The following is a 27,836-nucleotide window of genomic DNA, read 5'->3' as shown; positions in this document are numbered from 1 at the left end:
TCGAGACCAGCCTGGCCAACATGGTGAAACCCTGTCTCTACTGAAAATACAAAAATTAGTCAGGCATGGTGGTGCATGCCTGTAGTCCCAGCTACTCAGGAGGCTGAGACAGGAGAATTGCTTGAACCTGGGAAGCGGAGGTTGCAGTGAGCCAAGATCGCACCACCGCACTCCAGCCTGGGCAACAGAGCAAGACTGTTTCAAAATAAATAAATAAAATAATAAATAAATCTTTCCAACTGCATATCTGTTGTGAGACAGGATTTTCTTCATATGTCTCAGTAACCAACATATAGCAACAGATCAAATATGGAAGGAGATATTGATAATACAGCTGTCCCCTTGGAAGCCAGAGAGTAAAGAGATTCGTAAAAATGTAAAATAATTTCCATACTCTCATTAATTCGGGGAATGGGAATATAGTTATCTTTCATTTAGAACATTATGTTAACATGATTAATGTGTAATGAGTTTATTTTTGTTATTTTTAACGAATTGATACATATTTAAAATTTTTCTCAAGTTTCATTTTAATATGGCAACTATTGGTAGATATAACCCACTTCAACAAAAAAGCTGTTTGGGGGTCTTCAATACTTTTTAAGAGTGTAATGGGTTCTAAGACCAAAAGACCCACACCGTATTAGTATATTTGATAAGTACCCAGAAACTGGTACATAAAAAACTCATCTGGCAAATGTTCATGAAGTGCCAACTCTATGCCTGGTGCTGTGATAGGCCTTGGGGATTCAGAATTGAGAACAGTCGTTTCTGTTGAGGACTCACAGACCGGCGGAGGCGCCAAACCGGTATAAGAACAGTTATACCATGGGACTAGGATGAGGGTGAGAGCCCGCACCAAGAACACGCACCTATTAGGTGAGGCGGTGGGAAGAGAAGTGGCCAGGGAAGGCTTCCCAGAAAAGCTGACACTTACTGAGTCTTAAAGGCCACCAGGAATCAGCCAAGGGGATGGGCATTTTAGGGAGAGAGAACAGAATGCATAAACTGTGGAAGCTTTAAGAAAAGTATGGCTATTTCCAGCTCCTGCACGTAGCTCATTATGAATGCAGCATGAGGTACAAGTATGAATACTGGGGGTGAGGTTGGGCATGGAAGGAGATGAGGCCAGAGAGGCAGGCAACAGCCAAAACAACGGGCCTTCTATACCATATTAAGAAATGTGGATTTTTTTTTTCTCCTCAAAACAGGCAGGGTGCCCGCACGCCTGTAATCCCAGCTACTCAGGAGGCTGAGTCGGGAGGATCACTTAAGCCCATAAGTTCAAGACCAGCCTGGGCAATCTAGCAAGCTCCCGTCTCAAAAAAGGTGGGGGGACAGGGATTAGGGAGGGGTTTTGGAGAATTTTAGATAATATTCGCATTAACTTTTAAAAAGATATTTGACAACAATGTCATGGGACAGTCAAATGAATGAATGAGTTGAGGAACTAGAAGTAAGACTACAAAACAGACTGAAGAAAACATAAGGCGCGGCCAGAGGCCAGCCCAGACCGACCCGAGGAGGAACCTCCTTGGTAGAAGGCAGCCTCTCCAGGATTAGGTGGTTGTGAGACGCGAAGGGCAGGGGATACCCAGTGGTCTAGCATAGGCTACTGGTGGATGAGGCGTCTTCCACGGAGTTAGAGGAACACTGCGAGGTCAGGCCAGGGTTGCTCTCCGTGTGGCTAGCAGGCAGCTAAACAGATCTGAATGCATTTCCACGCCACCTCCCCACCGCCCCGGCCAGCGGCCTCGGGTTCCCACGGTCCCCAGCCCACTGCAAAATCCAGGCCTCCCGCCCCTCTATGACTGGAGGGTGGGGGCGAGGCTAGCAGCTCCCTCCCGGCTTCCTCCGCTTGTTCTCTCCTCCCCTTCCCCCTCCTCCCGGCGGCTCTCCACTTCCTTTCCCCCCACCCCACCCCAGGGAAAAACGAAAACAAACACCCTCGCGCCTCGCGCCTCCGACTCCCAGACCCCACGACCCGGCTCCGGCGCTGGTTTGGCGGCCTGGGTGGGAGAAGGCACCTCGCCCCGGACCCCCTATGCCCCGCAGCTCAGTGACTCTTCCCCTCGCCCTCCGCCTTCCCCGCCGCAGCCCGGCTCCGCCTCCCAATGGGGAAACATCCCAAAAAAGGGCAGAAAAGAAATTTCAGCATAAAGTTGGCCCACTGGGAAAGAGAGGAGCGTCCGCGGGGAGCGGGGGAGAAGAGGGAAGGCGCGCGGAGGGGAGTGGGGCCAGGCGGAGCCAGGGGCGGGGAGCGGAGGGGCTCGGGACGCGTCCGGGTGGGAGCGGGGGCGGGGAACGCGCGGTGACCAGCCTGGCCGCAGCCGCGTGGAAAATATGCGGGGCACGTGGGGGGCGGGGCGGGGAGCTGGGTCCTGAGCCGCCGGGTGCTCGCAGGAAGGGCCTGGCTCCAGGGGCAGGGGCTGGGAGGGGAGGCGAGGGGATGAGAGGTCAGGCCGGTCCTGGGGGCAGCAAGCCCGGCCACACTCCCCACCGCGACCGGGGCTCTGGGCTCGCTTCCTGCTTCAGTTTCCCCAAGCTCCCGATGAGACTCCGCTACTACCACCACGTCGATAACGCAAACCTAGAGGGACTCAGGGTAAACTGAGGCACTCAAACTGCCGAGGAGCTCCGCCTCCCGAGAGACATTTAATCCGGGGGGATTTGCAGGAAACTTCTAAATTAAGGGTAGCGGCTGCTGCAGCTGAGGGGGGGCACGCCGGTCCCTGCGCCCGGGCAGCTGCCGTGAGCTCACGCCCCGAAATAGCCCCAGGGGCCCCAGCCGCAGCTGCCACTGGGTCCGGCTGTCACTCAGAGGAAGCACGGAGCCCCCAGCCCAAGGGTCCCCTCCCCTTCGCATCGCCGGGGTTTTTCCAGCCGACCGTCGGCCACTTTTTCCTCCGACGGCTGGCAGGGAAGAGGGGGATGGGGGCGGGACCCCAAGGGAGGCGGTCCCCAGTGGGTGGGCGAAGGGGGCGGCCGCACCCCCCGGCCGGGCCGTGCTTCTGCCCCTACAAGGTTTGGGCCGAGGTGGGGGAGGGTCCTGGTTGCCGGCCCCGCCCGGTCCCTCCCCGCCTTTTAGGCGCCCGCGTGGCCGGGACGTCCCAGTCCCGCTCCGTCCTCCTCGCCTGCCACCGGTGCACCCAGTCCGCTCACCCAGCCCAGTCCGTCCGGTCCTCACCGCCTGCCGGCCGGCCCACCCCCCACCGCAGCCATGGACGCCATCAAGAAGAAGATGCAGATGCTGAAGCTGGACAAGGAGAACGCCATCGACCGCGCCGAGCAGGCCGAAGCCGACAAGAAGCAAGCTGAGGACCGCTGCAAGCAGGTTAGGGCCGGGCCCAGTGCAGCCTGCTCTCCCCGCGCCTAGGGCAAGGGTGGGCCGCTGCCATGGGTCCCCCAGCCCCGGGCCTGCCCGCCAAGGCTCTCTCTCACCCAGGGTGGGGGCTGGGCCTTCGCAGTACCCTCAGGGCCTTCGCCAGAGCCGCTTCTCTCCCCTACAATAGCCTGGGGAAGCCCCAGGCCCCTGGTTTCCACTCTGCCTTTGCAGAGCGCGGTTGGTCCTGCTCCTTGGGGCCTGAAGTTTTCTCTGTACCCTCAACGGGTCCCACCAGTACCCTTGACTGTACTGTCCCTTTTATGTTATTCCGCTTCCATCCCAGTAGCCTCCAAATCTTAGTAGCGCCCCTACACACACCGCGTCTCCATTCTGGGCCTGGGCCCCCTCCCAGCCTGGCTGACCAAGTCCCCTCTGTCCCAGCTGGAGGAGGAGCAGCAGGCCCTCCAGAAGAAGCTGAAGGGGACAGAGGATGAGGTGGAAAAGTATTCTGAATCCGTGAAGGAGGCCCAGGAGAAACTGGAGCAGGCCGAGAAGAAGGCCACTGATGTGAGTGTGGACTTGGGGGACAATGGGAGGAGTTAGGGCTCTGGGAAGGGGCCCCCCGGGTATGGGAATAAGAGGATTGGGGCACCTTATCCCCTTATGTCCCCAGCGCCAGGAGAGAAATGGTTTCATCTCAGTAACCAGGGCTAGGGTAAACTTACACAAGTAATCCAAGACAGTGGATAAATCAAAACCACCTACCACTTCCCCCAGAGGACTTAGCCCTGTAATTCTGTTTGGTTCCAGCTTTTAGAATGTACAGTGATCAAGCAATGAGTCATTGTGGGGGTGGAAGGTATAAGAATTTACCATCTACCTCAATTAATCCTCCAGCTGAAATTGGAGAGGAGACTGCAGCCGTTTGGGGATGGGGGGATGTGGATGTGAGGTACTAGCCTGCAGGAGGAGGGAGAGGGATCCAGAGATGAGACCCCACTTGAGTTACAACCCTAAGGGGCCATTAGAAATTCCCTGGCCTTGACCTCTGGCTTCAGCAGCCCTGCTGTGCCCTGGGGCCCCAGCTCAGGTTCTAATGGCTCCTCATTTACCCTCATTAAGCTGTCAGCCTGGAGACCATGCCAGGCCACAGGGCAGAGGGACAGGGCCACAAATGCCAAAGCAGCTACCTTGGCAGGTCATTTACCCTGAGATTTCTCTGCCCACCCCACAACCCCAACCAGACTTCACTTCCTGCCATTCCCAACCCCCAGCTTAAGGTAGGAGAATGGCCATATGGCTTTGGTGTGGTGGTAGTTTCCCCATTCTCTGCCTCAGTTTCCCCATCTTCCTTCCACCCAGGATTGTTTTAAGATGAACCTATGGTTAGATTAGCATAAAGCATGGTCTGAACATCAGAGATGACATAGCTGTTTGTGTCGACTGCTCATGTTCCCAGCCCCCCAGGGGTTGGGCTTCTGTGACCTCCAGCCTCCAGTTTTGGTTCTCCACCAGTCCTGGCACTTGGGAGGGAGCTGACCTGCAGCTGCTAGCACAGACAACCCTGGGCATCTGACACTCTATAAATAACCAAGGCCCAGTGCAGCTGGAGGCAAGATTGGAAACCCAAGTTGCTGGTGGGGGCTGGAGGGGCAGGGGGGACAGGGACAGAGCTGGGGAGGCAGAGCCGCAGCACCAGGAGCAGATAGGAAAGACTGCCCAAGCTTCCTGGTGACCTTGAACACAGCACTCAACTTACATGGTGCCTCAGTTTCTCCCTCTCTCTTGCTTCCCATTTTTCTAATGGGGACAGTAGTGCCTGTCCTGTGGTTAGAGAGCCGCCCCCGTAACTGGGAAGAGCTTGAGAGGCAGGAAATGGCACATATCAGTCCCATGATGAGGACCCCAGGACTTCCCAAACTTTCCAGAGTCTTTTGTCACCCCACCATCATGCAGAGTTTTTCTTTTACAGTCTCACCTCTCTCTAGGGTAGTACTCCAATGTCCCCCACAGTGATTCTTCCCAACCCCCAATGCTGTCCCCAGAATGCTTCCACACTGTCATCCGGCCCTGTGCCCATGATGGGCTCTTGTCACTCTAGGTGGCCAAGCTCCAGGTGCCTTCAGCACCTGGAAGACAAGCTACCATCTACTCTCTATATATGGTGCTGTTTCTCCTGCCCTACAGTCCGACCAAGGACCTGCTTCCTATGCTGTGTCCAAGTGCTGCCCCCAGCCCCTCCCCCCACCTCCTTTCCCTACACAGGTCCTCTCTCCTTTCCACTCTGAAATCTCAGGGTCTCTGTGTCCTTGTTTTTGACAGAGAAAGGGGATAACCTAATATTTATGGAATGTGGACCCTGTGCAGGCAATGTACTCAGTGCTTTCTGCATGTTATTTTACAATTTCCCAAACTTGGCTTATCATCAGAATCACTCGGGGGCTTTAAAAAAAAAAGAGAAGATTCCCAAGCCCCCGCCCTACACATCCCAATTCAGTGGATCTAGCATGGAGTAAGAGAACCTGTTTAGTTTTATGAGTCTCACCGAAGGTCCTGTTGATTAACTGAGTATTAAAAGCAGTGGATTATCTCAGAACAGCCTTAAGAAGGAGGAACTGTTATTGTTAACTCCAACTTGTGAAGGAGGAAACTGAAGCTTAGAGAGGCTAAATAAGTTGCCCACAGTTACACAGGTGTTGAGTGGCTGAGCCGTGGCTCAAAGACAATCTGACTCAGAGCCGATGCTCTTAACACGTGGCTGCCCTGCTCCTCTCATTTTCCTTTACTGGCGCTCGCCTTGCTCTGCCCTTTTTCTCAGTGTTTGACCAGTTTTTATGGATTTTTTCCAAAACCTCCATGGTTTTGCCTCCTACTGCAAGCCCAGGGGCTGAGTAGACATCCCTCACACTGCCCCTGCATTGCCCCCAGCTCTCTGCTGGCCTTGGCAGGGAGCCCCTTGCTACAGCCATGGGTATTCCTTATAGGCCTGCCTCTTGGGCTTCTTGCTGGGAGTCTGCCTTACAGCTGATGACAGATGACATCACTGAACTTGATACTTTTTTTTTTTTTTTTTTTTGAGATGGGATCTTGCTATGTTTCCCAGGCAGGGCTCCTGGGGTCAAGCTGAACTCCCGCCTTAGCCTTCGGAGTAGCTGGGATGACAGGCATGCACCACCATGCCCAGTATCACTGAGCTTGATTCTGTGACGGGCTATTCTTAGCAGCAGTGATGTCTGGTTGGCCTGATTCTCCTCCCATCCCCTTACCTGGGCCAGGCTTTGCTGTGTAGGAATCAGAGCTGCATCAGACCTGGCCCCAGCACTTGAAGTGCTCCCACAGGGAACAGGAGGACTTGTGTGCAGGTGACCTTTGGGAGACTAACTGTGCACAGTGCAGGAGAGGCCCTGCAGCAGGGGAGCGGAGCTTGTCAAGCAAGGAATGCATGTATTTTTTTGTTTTTTTGAGATGGAGTTTCGTTCTTTTTACCCAGGCTGGAGTGCAGTGGCACGACCTCAGCTCACTGCAACCTCCGCCTCCTGGGTTCAAGTGATTCTTGTGCCTCAGCCTCCCAAGTAGCTGGGATTACAGGCATGCGCCACCATGCCTGGCTAATTTTTTATTTTTAATAGAGACAGAGTTTCACCATGTTGGCCAGGCTGCTCTCAAACTCCTCACCTCAGGTGATCCACCCGCCTCGGCCTCCCAGAGTGCGGGGATTACAGGCGTGAGCCACCATGCCCGGCCTGAATGCACATTTTTTACTGGAGCACAGTCTGGGCAGAAGATGATTGGTTGGGGAAAAATCACATAGAATGTCTAGAAACCAGGAAGCCTCAGTTCTTTCTGAGAAGAATCTCGCCATCCTCTGGAGCCTCTCTGATCCTTATCCAAGGCTAACAAGGCCTTTTTGACCCCTGACCTCTGACCCACAGGCTGAGGCAGATGTGGCCTCCCTGAACCGCCGCATTCAGCTGGTTGAGGAGGAGCTGGACCGGGCCCAGGAGCGCCTGGCTACAGCCCTGCAGAAGCTGGAGGAGGCCGAGAAGGCGGCTGATGAGAGCGAGAGGTGGTCAGGGGCCTCGGGGAGGATGGTCCGGGAGGGAGAAGGGAGCCTGTCTCTGCTGGTCCTGACCCTACGCTCACCCTCTCCCTGCCTTTCAGAGGAATGAAGGTCATCGAAAACCGGGCCATGAAGGATGAGGAGAAGATGGAACTGCAGGAGATGCAGCTGAAGGAGGCCAAGCACATCGCTGAGGATTCAGACCGCAAATATGAAGAGGTGACAGCCTTGCCCCTCTGCCTGCTCGCTGCCCAGCCTGCAACATGCCCAGTCCTTCTCCACTGATCTACCCTCTCTTTCTCACTCCCCACAGGTGGCCAGGAAGCTGGTGATCCTGGAAGGAGAGCTGGAGCGCTCGGAGGAGAGGGCTGAGGTGGCCGAGAGGTAAAGATACCCGGGGGTGACAAGTGAGCCCATTGGCCCTGGGGCCTTCCACACAGTGGGAAGGTAGCATCCTAGGCTTGGGGCTGTAGGGACAGGCCCTGTTCTCTGACCCCTGCCCGCTGCCCCCAGCCGAGCCAGACAGCTGGAGGAGGAACTTCGAACCATGGACCAGGCCCTCAAGTCCCTGATGGCCTCAGAGGAGGAGGTAGTGACCCCTCTGAACCTTTCTGGGCAATGGCGCCTTCTCTCAGCTCACCTTCCCTCCGTCTCAGCACCGCAGGCTGCTCTTTCTCAGCTGCTGGGGATCAGGAAGGGCCTGGGGCTTCTGAGCCCTGCCTGCTGTCACTCTCACAACTTTGCTCTTCTCTTCTCTCCTCCACCCGTCCCCTGCTGTGCCATCTCCACTGTCTGGCTTCGCTGTGCCCTCACACCCTGCCCCCCCCGCCACACACCCCCTGCAGTAAATGTGGGGACCTAGAGGAGGAGCTGAAAATTGTTACCAACAACTTGAAATCCCTGGAGGCCCAGGCGGACAAGGTAGAGGGGAGCAGAGGGGCAGTGAGGATGGGGTCCCACAGGGGAGGGAGGTGAGGGGCCCAAGGCAGGGAGGGGCTGGGTGTTCAACGGAGGCAAGATGACCAGGAGCCTACGGGGTACAATGGAGAAATGAAGGATCTGTGGTAGCGCTGTACTGATGGCGTGTGTGTGTCCCCAAAAGTATTCCACCAAAGAAGATAAATATGAAGAGGAGATCAAACTGTTGGAGGAGAAGCTGAAGGAGGTGAGAGTCCTCTTCCAGTTCCCAGTCTCCCCTCAAGCCACCCTAATCCTTGCCAGAGACGGCCTGTGGCAGGACACTTGAGGGTTGGGATGGACAAGAAGCTTGACTTAGGCAGTAGTCTGTGGGAGGGCCTAATTCTTTGCCATTTCTCCCATCCTGCCTTTACCCCCAGGCTGAGACCCGAGCAGAGTTTGCCGAGAGGTCTGTGGCAAAGTTGGAGAAAACCATCGATGACCTAGAAGGTAAAAGAAGCCTTTATAAGTAGGTCCACACCTGCCGTGATTATCAGTCTGTCCTGTACCTTCTCATCCCATTTTATTTGCCACCAATAAACTAGGGTTGGGCCACCTAGGACCCTACCAACTCCCCAACTCTGTGGGCCATGTCTACAATTCAAGTAATTGTAGCTGCCCACGGCGCAACAACTCCAGTGCTTCTCAAACTTCAGCATGCATGAGAATCACTGGGAGAGTTTTAAAAACAGATTCCTTGACTCTGCCCCAAAGAGATTGCTGACTTTGGGCTGGAGGATTTACATTTCTAGCTAGTTCTCTGGTACTGCCAATGCTGCTGGTCCTCATGCCACACTCTGAGTGGCACCCTTATAGACAATTCCGTCCCCGAGTGTAACGCAGTAGAGTTCTAGTGCAGAGACTGGCTTATTAACTAGAGAGCTGTTGGACTGAACATCTAGGTCTGCATGACAGCACTAATAGAAAACACTATTTTAAGCTAGATTTGACAAAAGCAAACATCCAGATATTTGTGAGTCTGTGGCTATTTCTATTGTTAATGATGATGTGGCTAAAGTTGCCTTTCCTTTTTATTCTGTGATAACCCTTTCACTTTCCCACTTCTCTCGCTTCCAGCCTTCTCAGGCAAGCTCCAATTTTACCTCCAGCTTTAGGAGGTTTGCCCTTTCTGGCTCCAGCACCCTCCCTCTCCCCTCTAAGCAAGCACTCCTGCTTGTCGAGAGCATTGTACACACAGCTCCCTGGAGAGGCAGGAGCTGCCATGGGTAGAGCCAATTTGGGGTACAGAGAAGGACAGAAAAGAGATGGGGTAGAGATGGGGAGAAGGAGTTCCTGACAGCTGTCCAGCCTGTTCCCTGGCCTCCCTCTCTCACTCTGTCTTTGTGTACCTCTGATTCTGTTTTTCTTTCCATTGCTCTCTCTCCTTCCTTTCCTCTTTCCCTCCACTCCCTTTCCCACACTCCCACCTGGTCCCCTCCCTGGACCCCCCCCAGATGAAGTCTATGCCCAGAAGATGAAGTACAAGGCCATTAGCGAGGAACTGGACAACGCACTCAATGACATCACCTCCCTCTGAGCCCCACGCCAGCGTGGCCACCTCAGCTCTCTTCTCTCCTCTCCTTTCCATTCTCTCTATGGGGAGGGGAGCAGGCAGGAGGAGCAGAAATTGCCAACATTGCACAGCCAGGCTGGGAGCAGCCTAGGGAGAGCCCCCATCATGCCCACCACCCACTCTGGCACTGGCTTCATCCTTTACCTATCCCCTTCCACCCTCCTTTGCTGCTTAATAAATTCTGAACTTGGTCTCCATGCTGTTTTCCTGCCCTCCAGAGAGCACCTCTATCGCCACCACGGAGCACTGGTTCACTCCTGACACCCTGGCACTTACTGACACCCCCAGCCCCTGCACTGAGCCCACCCACAAAACACCATGGCCCACGCTGAAACCCCTCTGCACAGGCACTCCCTGGCTGTCGCTCTCTGATTCACCACTGCATGTGGGCACGTGTGGCCCCATCAAACCATGACCGCCTCTGGTGCCAATCCCTGACCTCAGAGCACTTAGCTGGGGTTCCAGGATCAAACAGAGTGACTGGAAAGGAAGTAGGGTGGTGAGGTGCAGGACAGGGGCAAGAAGGTTGCAAAAGGTCTGGAATGGAGCTTGGAAAAATGTTGGATATCAGCAACATGGGGCTTTCACTGCAGCAGCAGGTCTGTTTTCTACCTCAAGTCTGTCTGTCTGGCCCTTCCTTTCCTGGCGCAGTCTTTGTCTTACCTTCTGTCTCCAACTTCCTTAAACCTTCTAAAGAAGAGGATAAAGTAGTTTATGACTCAGCCCTCCCCACCCCACCTCTATGACCCCAAGGCCTTGAGTGAGGCATCCACGTCCGTCCTGTTCCCCTCATCCTAGTCAGTCCATCTGTTTGTCCCTGCCAAGGGGCCCTGAGGTCCGTGAATGCATGTGTCTTCCTTGACCCACTCCATGTCTATATGTCACCTTCCCCTGGCCCTGCCTCCCCACGTCTCCCCCTTGTGTCTCCCTTCTCCCTCACCTGCTGCTTCCCCTCACAGAGACCTTGGCCAGTGCCAAGGAGGAGAACGTCGAGATTCACCAGACCTTGGACCAGACCCTGCTGGAACTCAACAACCTGTGAGGGCCAGCCCCACCCCCAGCCAGGCTATGGTTGCCACCCCAACCCAATAAAACTGATGTTACTAGCCTCTCAAGGCCCTTTAATCCTTTCTTTGGTGTTGGCAATGGAGTTTGAGGGACCCCTGAATGAGCAGGGCCTGGGTCCTTGCTCTGCATTGGGACTTCCTTTTCAGGGGAAACTGGGATGGAGGGCCTGGGCTCATTGAGGAGGGGCTGTGAACAGGCTCTGTGAAGCAGGGAGTCTGACAGGACTGGGGGACATCGTGGGCCTTGTGCCCTACAGGCAGAGGAGCTGCCATCCATAGCACCGCCCTGTTCCAGCAGCCAGCTGGGCCAGACAGCACGTCCTGAAGCAAAAACTGCAAGAAGTGACACATTTTCCTTGAGCAGGGTGAAAACCCAAAAGCCTGAGTGTGATGTTAAGCCTAGGGCTGCTGTCTGCCCTACCCCTCAACACATACACTGCACACACACACAAACACACACACACACACAGCCATCCCAACAGTATCAGTCATTTCTGTCCTCTTCCTGATAGCATCTGTGGTAGGCAGAATAATTCCCCTTCTCCAAAGATGTCCATGTTCTAATCCTGTGCATTGTTCTTATCTTACATGGGAAGAAACTTGGTGATTAAGATTTTGAGATGGGATGATTATCCTTGGTTATCTAGTTAGGCCCAGTGTAATCCCAAGGGTTCTTGAGGAGACAAGGAGGTCAAATGTGGAGGTAGGAGTTGTGACAATGGGAGCAAGAGATTGGAGTGATGTGTGGAAGGAGGAACAAGCCCTACTGACATCTGACTGCTGACCTCCGAACTGTAATAGAATAAATGCATTACCACTAAATTCGTGCTAATAACAGTAATAGGAAATTCAAATACCATCCTTCTGATTTGGGGAACAAAGGTGACTAACACATATTTTATTATAAATATTTATTTTAAAAAATTTCTTGGCAGTTAAAAGGAAGTGGCATAATGAGCAGGACAGGACAGTTACCGGCTCCCCCTCAGATGCCTCTGGCTGGCTTCTCACATTCTCCAAGATCCAGCCTCTAGGCTCCAGTCTCGGCTACCTCTGCTGGGCGGTAGCTCACACCCCCTTTGGTTCCCCTTCTGTGTGTACACAACAGGAAAGGCTAATCAGAAAACTGGCCCAGGAGCAGCTCATTTGCATGCGCTTTGCATGAAGTGACTCCACAAGGGTGGGGGAAGCTTGTGCCTGAAGAAAGGGTCAGTGTAATACCTGTGCTGCCTTCTCATCTGCACAAGGAACGCGACGCTGGTGACAGCAAAAAGGAGGCCAAAAACCAGGGCTAGGATGTCACCTGCGATGGAGAGCAGAGAGGGCTGCTTTGGGAAGGAAGAGGGGTCTGCAGAGTTCCTCAACACCTGCCTCAGTGCACTCCACCACCCCTGCCCCGAGTTCTCAGGCAGCCCCTAGTGCCTCAGTCTCCAGAAGAGGCCAGCCAAGGGATGAGGGTGGATACACGAGAAGGGGTAAGATAAGCACCGTTTTTGCTTCCTAAAAGCCAAGTAAAAGGGCCGTTTGGGGCCAGGCACAGTGGCTCATGCCTACAGTCCCAGTGCTTTGAGAAGCTAAGGTGAAAGGATTGCCTGAGCCTAGGAGTTCGAGGCTGCAGTGAGCTATGATCGTGCCACAACACCCCAGCCTGGGCAACAGAGTGAGACCCTATCTTTAAAAAAAGGGGGGGGATTGTTTTGCGAGAGGGATGCTGGGAGATTTCTCAAGCTTCATTCTAATCAATTAGCCTCTGGGGACAATGGGGGAATCCCCACCATGATCTGCCTCTCTAATATTGGGGTTGGGGTCTGTTCTGCAGAAAAGGAGAGGGAGCAGAGGCGGTCCTGAGCAGCCCTGGGGCTGAATGGTGCTGAGGAGTCTCCTGGCATCAGGACCAAGAGGAGGGGCAGACTCACCAGCAGCCAGGCAGGAATTCAGCTGGACTGGAGAGAAAAAGGAGATGTGAGAGGCGGGCTGTGACCACCAATGACAGACACTGGCACACACATGGGAGGATAAGGGACTACTGGCTGGGGGGAAACCAGACAAAGCTGTACCTGGCTCAGCAGCCCGAGGACTGCTGTCCACTCCAGCAGGGAAGGAGGCCTCAATCACTCGCCCATTCAAAGGCTGCGTCGCTCGGAAGTTCAGCTGTAGCCGAGAGTCACCAGGTCCCCACAGGGTGTCAGAGAGGGTGTGGAGCTAGGGAGGTCAGTGGACAGTGTGGGTGGGTTCATGGCATGACAGGAAACAAGGGTCCCAGGCCAGCTCACAACCAGCACCTCAGGGCTCCACCCTCCAGCTCCTGTATTCCCCATCCAGCCTCTTGATTTCTTTTATAAATAAATAAATGTATCCTAAAGATGGTAGGCAGTGGTGGGATCATAGCTCACTGCAGTCTCAAACTCCTGGAATCAAGCGATCTTCCCACCTCAGCCTCCTTGAGTAGCTGGGACTAGGCGCATACCACCATGCCCGGCTATTTTTGGTTTTGTTGGGGTTTTTTTGGTAGAGATGGGGTCACACTATGTTGCCCCGCCTTGTCTTGAACTCCTGGGCTCAAACCATTCTCCCACCTCAGCCTCCCAACGTGGTGGGATTATAGGCGTAAGCCACAGAGCCCAGCCTTGATTTCTTTCTTCTCCTGTTTCTCATCTCATCTTACATCCTCTTTCCCCCGCACCCACTGTGTCCACACACACCCCAGGCCCACCTGCTTAGCACTCAGCATCACTGTCTGGTTAAACACAGTCCAGATGACACCCTGGGCACAGGGCGGTGTAGTCAGAGACCCCTCATATTGGAAGTAGCGGCTGAAGTCAGAGGGCAGGAGTGCAGATATGTCCAGTCCTGGGACCTGAGTCTCTGAGCCTGTGAAGAGGATCTATGTTGGGGTCTCATCTACATTGCACCCCCTTAAAGCTTCAGGGTATAGGGATACAGTTTCACCTCCCAGAAGCCAAGGTAACTCAACTCTGAGACCACTTCTTCGCTAAGTGCAGGCCCTTCCCATAAGACGTAACTCAAAAAAAAGTACAGGGCTTTGGAGCAACTGGAAGAGGCCTGAGGAAGCAAGAGAGGAAGAAAGAAAGGAAGGAGAGAAGGGAAGGTGGGAGGGAAGGGAGGAAGGAAGAGAAGGAAAGAAGAAAGACCGTCTGAGTCTACACTCTTAACTCTGTGTACCATCATAAAGTGCTGGGCCACAAGTTTAAGCCCAGAGCAAATTAAAAAGAAAAAATGAATCCCAGCACTTTGGGAGGCCGAGGCTGGTGGATCACAAGGTCAGGAGTTTGAGAGCAGCCTGGCCAATATGGTGAAACCCTGTCTCTACTAAAGATGTAAAAAAAAAAAAAAAGAAAAGAAAAGAAAAAATGATCTGAATAACTTGTAAATAAATATGAATATTGATAACTATACAAAACAGACACAAGAAATGCAAAGGCAGAGTTCTACCTAGTCTAGCAGAAACCTAAAAGGTCTAGTAGAGTAAGTGAGATTTAAAATGACCCAAGAGTGACTAAGAAGAGAACGATTTCCAACAAAAGTATTTACAAAGTTAAAATATTTGATGCTTATTAAAGATAAACAGTTCTCAGAAAAAGTTTAGCTCTCCAGACTTGACCTTGACAATTCCAAACACCATTTTTTGGTCTTGTTTTTTTTGTCTCATTTTGGTTTTTGCTTGGTTTTCTTTTTTTTTTTTTTTTTTGAGACAAGAGTCTCGCTCTGTTGCCCAGGCTGGAGTGCAGTGGCACGATCTCGGCTCACTGCAACTTCTGCCTCCCGGGTTCATGCCATTCTCCTGCCTCAGCCTCCCGAGTAGCTGGGATTACAGGCACCCGCCACCACGCCTGGCTATTTTTTCGTATTTTTAGTAGAGATGGGGTTTCACCATGTTGGCCAGGATGGTCTTGATCTCTTGACCTCGTGATCCACCTGCCTTGGCCTCCCAAAGTGCTGGGATTACAGGCGTGAGCCACCGTGCCCGGCGGTTTTTGCTTGGTTTTCAATCTGTAGGCAGCCGTTTGCGGGTAACTGTGTCTGTCAGCTTCATGGTTATTATCAAGATGAGCGCTGGCTCATGCTTCAATCCCTCCTGCACTGGAGGGAGCCCATCTCCAGCCTCAGACCTGAAGCTCCAAAGGGTGATTCTTTATGAACTAGGCCACAGAGATTAGTGGCCAGACCAACAAACTGACCTTCCTCAGCGATTTCTTCCAAGCGAGACAGCAACTGCTCATAGGCACTGTTTTCTTCCGGGCCCTCCTGGGGGATGACATTGTAAGACAGATGAGTGCATGTATCCAGGGCCATGGCTGAAGGCCGGAACATGAAGGGGGGTTCCCATAGACCTCTCCCATTCCTCAGCTCTGAGAATGCTGAGGGAACATAAAATTGTAATGGTTGTTGCTTTTTGTTGTTGCTGTTGTTTTTTTTTTTAGAGACAGTGTCTCCCTCTTAAAATCCTATGTATTATTTCAAACTCTATGTACTCTTGCTGTGCGAACCAACAAGCTTGGTGGACTGGTTTTCAATGACAAGCTGGAGAGAGAGGGAGAGAGCCCACTTTACTTAGGATACTAGGCTCTCAGTGACCCGTGCCCTTCTGACGTTTGCAGTCTCACTCACTGCTGCCTCCGTACATACTCCCCACAGGAAACCATATATACACCTTTGTGTTGGTGTCACCTCTGCATTCACCTTCATGATTCTGTGTTTGGCTTTTCAGGTGAGGTCCTGACATGCCACTTCTTTTATTTATTATTCTTTTTTCTTATTTTGCTTATGAACCTAATGTTAAGAACATTATGAACCTAAGAGTATGAACATATTGACATGCTATGATGGAGGCATTTCTCTGAACTTTGTGCTGTGTGGCTGGCATTAAAGAATCAGTGAGTGTGGCTGGGCACGGTGGCTCACACTTGTAATCAGCACTTTGGTAGGCTGAGTCAGGCGGATCACTTGAGGCCAGGAGTTTGAGACCAGCCTGACCAACATGGTGAAACCCTGTCTACTAAAAATACAAAAAAAAATTAGCTGGGCATGGTGGCACACACCTGTAACCCCAGCTACTCAGGAAGCTGAGGCAGGAGAATCCCTTGAACCCGGGAGGCGGAAGTTGCAGTGACCCAAGATCACACCACTGCACTCCAGCCTGGGCGACAGAGAGACTGTCAAAAAAATAAATAAATAAATAAAAGTGAGTGAGTGAACCTAGCAGGCATCTCACCATCCCTTCCCTTTACTGGCCTCCTCTAATCATGGTGTATGTAGCCATTCCCTAAATAGGCCATATTCTGAGTCTTTGCACATTCTGTTTCCTCTGCAATGAACACCTCCTTTTCTTTTCTACCAGTGAAGGCTTTAAGTGTCACCTCCTCTGTGACCACCATCTTTACTATGTCCTTCCTATGTGTCTGTCATGTCAGCCTCCCCCACTGGCTGTGGGCTCCTTAGAGGCAAGGACCTACAGCTTCAGAATCCTTGTTGGGGGCTGGTGCCTGGTTCACAGTGGGTGTTAAATGAACAAACAGTGCGTGAATGAGTTTGTCAGCCAGGGGCCTGAGTGAGCTTGCTGGGATGGGGTCTCTGGCTCCACGATAGAGTCCGGGAGGAGCATGGGATGGGAAAGCGGGGAGTAGGGGGTGTCCAGGATCTGGTACCTCCAGAAAGGCGGCCAACACGGCCAGGCCTCCCGGGCGCCCCAAGGCCTCGTCAACTCTGGCAAAGGCGGTGCTGAGGTGAACCACGTGGATCTGAAAAGGACACGAGGGTAGGAGAGGGCCACGTCTCTGGCCCCGCTCCGCCCCGCTCCTTTGCCCCTTCTCGGCCAGCTCCGCGCTCACCTCGGCAGGGAAACGGTGGCCTTCCACAGTGTGCTCCGAGCCCGGACGACCTGCAGCCCCCCAGTGCAGATGCAGCTGCAGAGCCCGGTACTCCCGCCCGGGACCCAGAGCCATCTCTAGCCCAGGAGGCAGGGTCAGTTGCACTGCGTAGGGAGAGGCAAGTGAGCCGGCCCCGCCCGGTAGGGCCAGCCCAACCCCCGGGCAGGCACTGCCGCGACGGTTCCCTTCCCTGCGCCCCGCCCCATCCCCAAGTCTCGGCGGGGAGACCCCCTCACCACTGTGGCCATTGTTGCGCAGGCGCAGTTCTGGGAGCGGCGGGAGCTGGAAGCCCAGGAGTTCCAGGGGGCGCAGGGCCGGGCAGAAGGCGGCGAGCTGGGGGCGGATATCCACCGGGGACTGGAAGCGGCCCGCGCAGGCTGGGGACACCCGGGGCCAGGGCGGGTCGCCTGGGGTGGGAGAGTATAGTGAGGAAGTCTGACGCCTAGGTCAGGAACTTAGGGAACCCGGGTAGAAAAGGTGAGGGGGTGGGACGGTGGGCGGCGGGTGGGACGCCCGGGACCAGTGTTCAGGGACGGCTGTAGGGGAGATCCACAGAGCTGGGTTCCCAGATTGGGTCTGTGCAGCGGGTGGGTGTCTCACCTCCATAGCGCCAATGACTCTGGTCATCCCCTGTATAAATGAAAAGGATGAACCGCTCAAGCTTAGAGCCCCAATCCCTTCCTGGCGACCAAAACGATGTCACAAACGCAGATGCCTTACAGGAGCATTACGGGTAACAAATGCCTTAAGCGGGCCAGGTGCAAAGCACAGGAGACCGCACCCAAACTCAACACCGCAGCTGGGTGGGCCAAACAGCAATCCTACCAGCTTGCAATCATTGTCTTAGGGTCTGTAAAAGTGAGTGGCTGCTTCAGGCCAGGCGCTGTGGCTCACGCCTATAATCCCAGCACTTTGGGAGGCCAGGGTGGTTGGATCACCTGAGATCAGGAGTTCGAGACCAGCCTGACCAACATGGCGAAACCCCGTCTCTACTAAAAATACAAAAATTAGCCGGGCGTGGTGGCGCATGCCTGTAATCGCAGCTACTTGGCTAGAGGCTGAGGCAGGAGAATCACTTGAACCCGGGAGGTGGAGGTTGCAGTGAGCCGAGATCGCGCCATTGCACTCCAGCCTGGGCAACAAAAGTGAAAGTTTGTCTCAAAAAAAAAAAAAAAAAAAGTGAGTGGGCACTTCAGTCCTGAGTCCCAAATGAGTGAGTACACCATCTTTCCTTTCTCCCTTCTTTCTTCTCCCCACTCATCCCTCTGCCTTGTATGGTCTCCAACCCCTTTCCCCAAATTCCTGGCTTGGGAGTCAAGAAGCCACGTTTCTCTACCTGCTGTGTCCCTTCTTCCTAGGTCTCAATTTCCTCATTGTAGCCTAAGATGAGATGACTTCTACCAGCTCTTCTTGCTTGTCTCTGGTACCCACTTCACCTCCCAAGCTTTCCTTTTCTCTTCCCCTCAAACTCTCTGACTCTCCTTCTCCACCTATTTTTTTCCTCTGTCTGCACATTTTTTCTCTCATCTGCAGTTCTCATCCCTTTCTCTTCTCCAGCCTCCCCCTTCTCTCCCATCTCATCCAGCTCACCTCTCTCCTTTTGCACCCTTTTTATTTTCTCTCCACATCTGTCCCTTTCTACCTCCGAGAGTGGGGATGGGGATATTGGTATGGGACCTCTGGAAGGGCTTCTGTGGGGAGTACAGTCTCCCCTCCTTCCCTGAGTGAACAGAGCCTAGGCTGGGGTATGGGAGGGGAGTCATGAACCTCCTGGAACCTGGATTTGGAGATTGATGACCACTTACCTTCTTTGTCCCTGTGGGCATTATTCTGGGGTTCTTGAGGATCTCCAGGAGCCTCAACAGTAGGTAGATCCTCTAACTTCAGGGAGCCCTCTTCTTCTGATTTAGGCTTAACTTCAGGTAGATCCTCCTCTCCAGGTAGATCCTCCTCTCCAGGTAGATCCTCCTCTCCGGGTGGATCCTCCTCTCTGGGTGAATCCTCTTCACTGGGCAGATCCTCCTCGCCCAGTGGGTCATCTTCCCCAGAAGAGCCTCCTCCCAAGGGGGAATCCTCCTGCATCCGGGGCAACCTCTGGGGATGGACAGGCACCAGAAGCAGCAGTGACAGCAGCAGTTGCACAGTGAGGCCTGGAGCAGGGGCCGGGATCAACAGAGGGAGCCAGGGGCTGGGGCACAGGGGAGCCATGCGGCTGACTGTGGGGTGTCCCAGCACACGGTGTGTACGGGCTGTACGTGCATTGGAAACGAGAGCTGGGTGGGGGAGGAGCAAGCCTGGAGGGGAGCAGGCTGACTCACAGAGCGCCCTTTTGCAGAGATGGAGCCAAAGTCTCACAGGTTTGTCTGGCCCTGTGCCCTCTCCCCCATACCAAAGCTAGGATGGGGGTGGAGTGAGGGGCAGGTGTGTGCACAGGCAGAAGGTTATCGGGGCCATGGACTCAGCTTGGAACCCAAGGCACCACCTGGCACTATGCAGGCTCTCCCTGGCACCACCCAGCTGCTTGCCAGCCAGCCTCAGCTAACCCTGGCCTGCTTCCCAGCTCCAGGCACAGAAGGGGAAAGGCAGGGGAGCTGGGGCCCCCATGTCCTCTGGCTGAGAGGGAAAGCAGCTCATGTATACATCCCTGACTCCACCAGGAAGCAGGTAAAGAGGTAGGGCAGGCTGCTAGGGGAGCCCGAGGGTGAGTTAAGTAATGGGTATGTGGGAGACAAACTTGAGCTTGAATGAAAAGCAAGTGTATGTGTCAGAGGGGCTCTGATAGGTTTAACCTATATTTATTTTTCAACACATTACTCTCCTGCTCAAAAGCCTTCATTGGCTCCCCACTGCCTGCCACGATATGCACATTGTGTACTTCTGACTTCCAACTTCCTTCAAAACCTTGCCCAAGAGACCTTTCCATCTTGTCTCCTACTACTCTCCCTCATACTCTAGCCAAATTAAACTATTATTTTTTTCTCCAAACCTTTTACCACCTTTGTTAATCTAGTTCTTGCTCCCTGAAATGCTATTTACTATTGCATTCAACAAATATTTATTTAGTACTACCATAGGTCCAGCACTGGGCTATGGACTAGGGACATGGAAATGAATAAGACACGGTCCCTCATTTTGGGAGGCTGAGGTGGGTGGATTGCTTGAGTCCAGGAGTTCGAGACCAGCCCGGGCAACATGGCCAAACCCTGTCTCTACTAGAAATACAAAAAAATTAGCCAGGTGTAATGGCATGTGCCTGTAGTCCCAGCTACTCAGGAGGCTGAAATGGGATGATGGTTTGAGCCGAGGCGGTTGAGGCTGCAGTGAGCTGAGACTGTACCATTGCACTCTGGCCTGGGTGACAGAGCAAGACCCTGTCTCAAAAAAGAAAAACAAAAACAAAAACAAAAAACGCTACCTGCCCTGAGCAGCTCACAATCTAGTGAGTGAGGGCAAACCCTGTCAATATCATCATATTGAGGGAAGAGAGATGAATTCTGCTTTAGAAGATAATATAGAAGTAGGCAAATTTGATCATGTCCTTGAAGAAATACCAGTTCCATTGGTAAAAACAATAGGGAGAATGATATTCTGGGCAAAGGGAAGGCATAAAATATTATGAGCAGGAGAGTGACAGAATCCAGTTCTCATACTAGGTCACGTTGAGGGCTTGAGGGCTAGTATGGAGCACAGATTGCAGGGGAAGACTGGGTGCAAGGAGATGGGGCAGAAGAGTGTGAGGACACCAAGAATGGGCTTAGGCCTCCCAGTTTTTTTCTTTTCTTTTCTTTTTCTTTTCTTTTCTTTCTTTTTTTTTTTTTTTGAGACAGAGTCGCACTCTGCTACCCAGGCTGGAGTGAAGTGGCGCGATCTCGGCCCACTGCAATCTCCACCTCCCAGGTTCAAGCGATTCTCTTGCCTCAGCCTCCTGGGTAGCTGGGACTACAGGCACCTGCCACCACGCCCAGCTAATTTTTGTATTTTTGGTAGAGATTGGGGTTTTGCCATGTTGGCCAGGCTTGTCTTGAACTCCTGACCTCAGGTGATCTGCCCGCCTTGGCCTCCCAAAGTGCTGGGATTACAGGCTGGTTTTTTTTTCTAATTAATTATTTTTAAAATTTATTTTAGAGATGGGATCTCACTGTGTTGCCCAGGCTGGAGGGCGGTGGCTATTTACAGGTGCGACCCTGTTACTGATCAGCATTGAGTTTTGACCTGCTCCAATTTCCACCTGGGTCAGTTCAACCATCCTTAGGCAACCAGGTTGATGCAGAACTTAGTGCAGACACCTGACTGGTATACTACACTACAGCCCAGAAATCCTGGGATCAAGTGATCCTCCTGCCTCAGCCTCCCAAGTAGCTGGGACTACAGGCACACGCCATCACACCTGGCTAGTCTGCCCTTTTAACAATTTATTAAGCCTCCGCCAGTCCTTCAGGTGCTGTTCTAGGCCCTACAGATGCAGCATTGAATAGAGAATAGCTCTACTGTTTTGTAGCTCACATTCTAGTAAGGCTCCATTGGCTTAAACAAACTAAAAGAGAATAAGGCCATTTCAGGTCCATATCTAGGGCTAATATTCAGTAGGCACCCACCAATATGGTTGTGTAGGTTAATTAAATACATTAAGATATTTCTAATCCTGTTGGCATATAGCCATGGCCCCTAGCTCCAGGGTACCCCTGCTACCCTAGCTCTTCCTTAGGGACCCTCCAGACCTCCTGATCCCTTATCTAAAGAGGTATTCCCTGGCATAACAGAGTCCCCAGGAGCCCACTTGAGTGCCTCAGCCACCTTCAACTCTGATAGGTCAGTGCTTGTGCACTTGCTGCTGTGTCACAAATAGTTTTACTGGCCAGGTGCAGTGGCTCATGCCTCTAATACCAGCACTTTGGGAGGCCGAGGTGTGCAGATCACCTGAGGTCAGGAGTTCGAGACCAGCCTGGCCAACATGGTGAAACCCCGTCTCTACTAAAAATACAAAAATTAGCTGGGCATGGTGGCAGGCACCTGTAATCTCAGCTACTCAGGAGGCTGAGGCAGGAGAATCACTTGAACCTGGGAGGCAGAGGTTGCAGTGAGCCGAGATCGCGCCACTGCACTCCAGCCTGATCGACAGAGTGAGACTCTGTCTCAAAAACAAACAAACAGACAAAAATCGTCGCTAACATAGTGAAACCCCGTCTCTACTGAAAAAAAAAAAAAAAAAAAATTAGCCGGGCGTGGTGGCGGCCGCCTGTAGTCCCAGCTACTCAGGAGGCTGAGGCAGGAGAATGGCGTGAACCCAGGAGGCAAAGCTTGTAGTAAGCCAAGATCGCGCCACTGCACTCCAGCCTGGGCGACAAAGCGAGACTGTTTCAAAAAAAAAAAAAAATTTTACTGTCCTCCCTGTCTAATCTCTTCTGTTCTTTGAAACTCAGATGAAAGGCCACCTCCTTCAGGAAACTCCTTAACCAACCCTCTACCACTAGTCTGGAAAAGATCCCTGGCATCTTTGAGCCAACCCAGTTCTTTGCCTGCCCTCAATAATAACTTTGTCCACCGTCTAACTCATATAAGGGTGATAACTCATTTTATCTGCTCTAACGGCCTTCAGCTCCATAAGGGCAGGGTCCGTACTTGATTGAGTCAGTCTTTTATTCAACAGCCATTATTGAGCATTTTCTTTTTGCAGATTACCTTGCCAGATGCTTGAGAAATACCAAATTGACTAAGATATATTCTCTGCCCTCAAGGAGCTCATTGTCAATGACCTGTGCATGTCCACAACTATCCCATAAACATGACATAACTTTTTACATTATTATTATTTTTGAGACAAGGTCTTACTCTGTCACCCAGACTGGAGTACAGTGGCGTCATAGCTCACTGCAGGCTTGATCTCCTAGGCTCAAGTGATCCCCCTGCCTCAGCCTCCTGAGTAGCTAGGACCACAGGCACAAGCCACCACCCCTGGCTAATTTTTTTATTTGTTTTGTAGAGATGGGGTTTCGCTATATTGCCCAGGTTGGTCTTGAACTCTTGACCTCAAGTGATCCTCTGACCTCAAGTGATCCTCCAACCTCAGCCTCCAAAAGAGTTGGGATTATAGGCGTGAGCCACCATGCCTGGCCCAACACCACATTTTTGTGGCACTCCAAATCATCTGTGTTGTCGGATGACTGTCATATTGTACAACAAAATATATATGACTGAATAACAGCTGTCCTCCAAATGGTCAACCTCAGATGTAGTCAGCCTAAGATTCTAGGGTGCCATTTCTGGAGCCAAATTCAGAGCTCTCCATGGCAGTGTGGTCCAGGGTACACTCTGGATGGCCAGCTGATTGTCTTGGTCAGCTCTGTCATTAGCTTGGAACTTGCTTGGCCCCTGACATATGGAAGTACATGGTAATATCTGAATTGGATGGGCCTATACAAGACAGAATGTGGTAACGACTAATCCAGCTCTCTGTTACAGCTCACTCATTTTTCAAATGCGATTCCCTATGGCTCTGTTTCTCTGTCTCTCTCGTCTCTGGTCTGAGTGGAGAATGTGGACTCTGACCCTGGATCATGCTGGGAGTCTGCCAAACCCTCAAACAGGTTTGAGTTATTGTTTCCTGAGTCTCCCCGGGTTGGGACAGAGTATACTCAGGACTGACTGACCAGGGCACCCCACACCTGGATCAGGACCTCTCTGTGGTTATTATAGGCCAAGTGTTTGCTCATGAGGGTTTGTGTTTTCAAACACTGAGGGGTCATGTTACTAAAACATGTCTCTGCCTATCCCAGCATGGCAGAGGAGGAAACTATTCACTGGTGGGGTAGAAGGGAAAATGCTCCCTCTCCCAAGCCATAGCTTGGGGGCAAAGACTGATCAAATTCCTTGTAGAACCTTGAGGCTGACTTGTAGTTCTGGCTACCTCCCCATCTATATTCATTTCCAAGGGCTGCTGTAACAAATTACCACCAAGTGGGTAGCTTAAAACAACAGAAATGGATTTTTTCACAGTTCTGGAGGCCAGAGTCTGAAATCAAGGTTTTGACAGGACTGGACTCTCTCTGAAGGCTCTGGGGAAGAATCCTTCCTTGCCTCTTCTAGCTTCTGGCGGCTCCAGGCATTCCTTGACTTGTAGCTGCATTACTCCAACTTCACATGGCCTTCTCTTGCCCCTGTGTCTCCACTGGGTGTCTCTCACTGAGACACTTGTCATTGGATTTAGGGCCTACCAACATAATCCAGAATGATCTCATCTCAAGATCCTTAACTAATTATGTCTGCAAAGACCCTTTTTCCCAACAAGGTCACATATACAGGTCTTGGGGATTAGGACATGGACATGTCTTTATATGGGGCCACCATTTAGTCCACCATCAGTGCAGGGGAACTGACGTGGACGCACAGGATGAGAAGGGATGAGTTCGTATTGAAGACTCTCATGCTTTTGCCCTTATCCTGCTACTTATCTTTGCAAGGCCGTGTCATCCACTCCCATGGCTCCTATAAATTGATGACACCCAAGTATTCCCAGGCTGGACTCTCTCCCCATGCCAGACCCATAACCATCTGCCTAATAGACAAGACCCAAGACATCTCCACTTGGATGTCCCACAAGTATTTCAAGTTTAACAGGCCCCAGGTTGAATTTGTCTTCCCCGCAAATCTCCTTTTCATCCTCCTTCAGTGAATAGCACCACCCTCCACCTAGAAGCCAGAAACCTGGTACCATCTCTACTTTCATCTTTTCCTTCACCCTAGCATTCAATAACCATGCCCTATGGATTCTACCTTCTAAATTTTTCATCTACATTTTTCATCTTGGCTCATACTTTCGTCACCTCTTACCTGGATGACTGCAACTGCCTCCTGATGGGTCTTGCTGAGTCCAGCCAACCAGAGTGATGTTTCTAAAATGGCACATCTGATGATCTCACTCCCTGTTTAAGGCCTTTCAATGGTTTCCCATTGCCCTTAGGATAAGGTTCACAGTACCTGACGTGGCCTTCAGAGGGCCGCCATTGCCCTGGTTTCCATGGTGGGCTTGTGACCTAGGGAGGTCCAATCAGTGAAGCTCTCTGTCTGAAGTATTTGATGGCTAAGGGAACCAACTCTGCGGACAACACATAAAGAAGCACACAGCCATTGTAACTGTGGGCAGCCATCTTGTACCCACAATGGAAGCCAGCCTTAAGATGAAGGTAAAACCATGGAAGGCACAGTGGAGTGGTGGAAAGAGGTCCTTGGTAACATGATTGAGCTGCTGGATTAGGCCAACACTAGGGCCCACCTGCTTCTGGACTTTTCAGTTGCATGAGCCAATAAATTATCTTAATGTTTAGCCACTTTGAATTTATTATTACTTATATCACAATTTTACTGATATAAATTCCTTCTAAGTTTGGCCTCTGTCTACCTCTCCAGTCTCCTTTGTCATCACTCTCTCCCTTGCAGTCTATGCTCTCATCTTACAGAACTTCTAGCAGTTCCTTAAATTCATCGTATGCTTGCATATGTGTGTGTCCAAGCCTTTGTCCATGCTGTTTGACTCTTTTTTCCACTTCCCTTGCTGCCAGCGCCCAGCTCTGCCTAGCCAGGTTTTATTCATCCTTCAGGTCATCAGTTCACATATCACTTCTTTGAGAAGAAGCCTTCCCTGACTCCTACACTAGGATCAGTCCCTTCACTGCATGCTTGTGTAGAAGACTACATGTCTCTTGTAATGTTTCCTCATTTTATGGTGACTCCTTACTGTATCTGCCATGCTGGAGTGTAAGCTCCCTGTGGGCAGGGGTCATATGTCTCTTGCCCACCATTTCATCTTCATGCCTAGCACAGGACCTGGCACATGATTGGCATTTAATTTTTTTTTTTTTTTGAGACAGAGTTCCGCTCTTATTGCCCAGGCTGGAGTGCGATGGCATGATCTCGGCTCACTGCAACCTCTGCCTCCTGGGTTCAAGCGATTCTCCTGCCTCAGCCTCCCAAGTAGCTGGGATTACAGGCACGTGCCACCATGCCCGGCTAATTTTGTATTTTTAGTAGAGACGGGGTTTCACCACATTGGTCAGGCTGGTCTCTGACAACACATAAAGAAGCACACAGCCATTGTAACTGTAACTCCCGACCTCAGGTGATCCGCCTGCCTCAGCCTCCCAAAGTGCTGGGATTACAGGCGTGAGCCACCATGCCCAGCCTAATTTTGTTGAATGACTGATGATTGTTGTTCAAAGCATCCCTAGTGCTTCTCCAGCATCCATCGGATTGAAAGCAAAATTTGAGGATAATTAAAGAATAAAGGGGTTATTGACTATCCTCTGAACCTCCTCCTGTTGGCCCCTCCTATCTTTGGCTGTGGGAGCGGAGTTTAGCAGCTGTTCCAGGTAGAGTATGGTGTGCCTGACTTGCTCTGTGGGAGACTCGGTCCCCAGGGAATTAGTTGTCACCAACTGTTTTCAGTGTGTCTTCTCGGCTTTGCCCTCTTCCTCTTCTAGAGTTGAATGATTCCCCAACCGATGCTCACAGGAGGCTCTATTCCCCACCCCTCTTCCACCCACCCAAAGCACTAACACACACTGGCAGCATTCACAAACACACCCATCACCAACTGCACCCCAGGTGTTGTGGTCTACTCTCATCACCTGGGCTCACAGTGACACCAATTACCATGGGATTATCTGTCCTCTTCCATGTTTGAGCTCTTAGTGTGTGGACTGTCCCACATTCACTTGAGACAGTGTAACCAGTCCTTTACCTATCTGGTATCACCACCAGTTTCCTTGGGACATAAGCCCAAGGTACAGTCTGATCCAAACTCTCCCCTTCCTTCATCCAAGCCCTTCAAGTTATTCCTCCCTGGTCTAAGCCCAGCATTATTCCTTTCTTAGAATTCTTAGAATGTCAGAGCTGGTGGGGAGGTGGTAGAGACCTCAGAACCCTGACAATCCTCTGGTTCTTGGCTTGCGGCCCAGATTCCTAGGAGTCCAAAACAGTAGGGAGGGAGCCTAAAGTTTCTGACATTTTGTTTTTTTTAATAACTTTTTTTTTCTAACTACAAAGTAATGCATGCTTAATGTAGAAAACTTGGGAAAGGCAGAAGTATAAGAGAATTTTTAAAATCACCCTGTTTGTCCCATTCATCCCTTTAGCTTCAGTGATCCAGTGCCTGGCACAGATACAGATTAGGTACTTAATACACATTTGTTAAACACATTATCTTCAATTCCATTACCCGGAGATAAAAACCACAGTTAACTTTTTATTTTTATTTTTTATTTATTTATTTTTTTTTTGGAGAGATGGAGTCTCGAACTCCTGGGCTCAGGTGATCCTCCTGCCTCTGCCTCCCAAAGTGCTGGAATTACAGGTGTGAGCTCCCGTGCCTGGCAACAGAGTTAACTTTTGATTGTTTTGCCTTCCAACATTTTATATATGTTTTATACAAAGGGGATTATATTATACACCTTTGTAGCCTGCTTTTTTTCCTCTCAGCAATATACTTACTATGTGCGTTTTCCCATATCGATAGCTTCTTTACAACACCATTTTTAATACTTTCATATCATTCCTTCAAATGGCTATACCTTTTCCTAGCCAATTCTGGGAACAACTGACCCCCTGGCATTTGGCATGGGCCCAGGACAGAATGTGTACTGTAATGACCGCCCCCCGTCCCAATTCTCCAGATAGGACATTAAGTTCCTGCCAGCATCTGCAGCCCGTCTCCTGACTCAAAGTTCAGGCTGCTGCTCCAACATAGTGCCACTCAGAGGAGGGCTCCACACCTGCCCCCAACCTTGCCCTGCCCTGCCCTGCCTTGGCCGGCGCCGCGCACCTAAAGCGCCGCTCTGGCGGTGGGGCTGGACAGAAGAGACCCTGCGCGGTCCGGCCGCTCGCCGCGCATGCTCCTTCCTGCGCGCTGCCCTCCCCGGCCCCGCCTCCGCGGCTCCCGCCCGCGAGCGGTTGGGATTTGAATCTGCCGCGGACT

The 27,836-nt window shown here is 51.8% G+C and overlaps 2 protein-coding genes and 1 pseudogene across 9 annotated transcripts, besides 3 other annotated features; 1 reads left to right on the top strand and 2 right to left on the bottom strand.

Annotated features, from left to right (window-relative positions):
* Nucleotides 1,696–1,775: a silencer, noted in NCBI's record as "silent region_19873". NCBI's record gives its function as "represses an Ori minimal core promoter by ATAC-STARR-seq in GM12878 lymphoblastoid cells {active_cell/tissue: GM12878}" and the evidence as "EXISTENCE:reporter gene assay evidence [ECO:0000049][PMID:35858748]".
* Nucleotides 2,982–11,045, top strand: TPM2 (tropomyosin 2). 6 transcript variants are annotated; one of them, NM_213674.1, is made up of 9 exons: nt 2,982–3,334; nt 3,767–3,892; nt 7,258–7,391; nt 7,487–7,604; nt 7,699–7,769; nt 7,899–7,974; nt 8,488–8,550; nt 8,723–8,792; nt 10,875–11,045. In NM_213674.1, the coding sequence occupies exons 1-9, from the start codon at nt 3,221–3,223 to the stop codon at nt 10,955–10,957; spliced, it is 855 nt and encodes a 284-aa protein (NP_998839.1). In that variant the 5' UTR covers nt 2,982–3,220; the 3' UTR covers nt 10,958–11,045. The 6 variants fall into 6 exon arrangements, with proteins under 6 accessions (NP_998839.1, XP_047279783.1, XP_016870577.1 ...); NM_001301226.2 differs by lacking the exon at nt 7,899–7,974 and adding an exon at nt 8,231–8,306 and having other exon boundaries at nt 3,113–3,334; nt 10,875–11,030; NM_003289.4 differs by lacking the exons at nt 7,899–7,974; nt 10,875–11,045 and adding exons at nt 8,231–8,306; nt 9,797–10,106 and having other exon boundaries at nt 3,113–3,334.
* Nucleotides 4,671–5,148: an enhancer, noted in NCBI's record as "ENSG00000198467_9:35677887-35678364 (NCBI36/hg18 genome assembly) insert fragment". NCBI's record gives its function as "drives selective reporter gene expression in differentiated C2C12 myotubes {active_cell/tissue: C2C12}" and the evidence as "EXISTENCE:reporter gene assay evidence [ECO:0000049][PMID:22144875]".
* On the bottom strand, nt 11,879–19,110 carry CA9 (carbonic anhydrase 9). 3 transcript variants are annotated; one of them, NM_001216.3, is made up of 11 exons: nt 18,676–19,110; nt 17,471–17,500; nt 17,107–17,277; nt 16,832–16,974; nt 16,649–16,741; nt 15,182–15,248; nt 13,696–13,853; nt 13,040–13,184; nt 12,899–12,925; nt 12,204–12,285; nt 11,879–12,073 (listed from the first exon to the last, which is right to left on the bottom strand). In NM_001216.3, exons 1-11 carry the CDS (start codon nt 19,076–19,078, stop codon nt 12,013–12,015), a joined length of 1,380 nt encoding a protein of 459 aa, NP_001207.2. In that variant the 5' UTR covers nt 19,079–19,110; the 3' UTR covers nt 11,879–12,012. The 3 variants fall into 3 exon arrangements, with proteins under 3 accessions (NP_001207.2, XP_047279805.1, XP_047279806.1); XM_047423849.1 differs by lacking the exons at nt 11,879–12,073; nt 12,204–12,285; nt 12,899–12,925; nt 13,040–13,184; nt 15,182–15,248 and having other exon boundaries at nt 13,702–13,853; XM_047423850.1 differs by lacking the exons at nt 11,879–12,073; nt 12,204–12,285; nt 12,899–12,925; nt 13,040–13,184; nt 13,696–13,853 and having other exon boundaries at nt 15,182–15,361.
* On the bottom strand, nt 20,994–21,262 carry RN7SL22P (RNA, 7SL, cytoplasmic 22, pseudogene; annotated as a pseudogene).
* Nucleotides 27,675–27,824: a silencer, noted in NCBI's record as "silent region_19872". NCBI's record gives its function as "represses an Ori minimal core promoter by ATAC-STARR-seq in GM12878 lymphoblastoid cells {active_cell/tissue: GM12878}" and the evidence as "EXISTENCE:reporter gene assay evidence [ECO:0000049][PMID:35858748]".

This window comes from Homo sapiens, chromosome 9 (genome assembly GCF_000001405.40).
Source record: "Homo sapiens chromosome 9, GRCh38.p14 Primary Assembly".
NCBI lineage: Eukaryota > Metazoa > Chordata > Mammalia > Primates > Hominidae > Homo > Homo sapiens.
The sequence above is the reverse complement of the archived record's forward strand: the minus strand, read 5'-3'. Positions and strand labels throughout refer to the sequence as shown.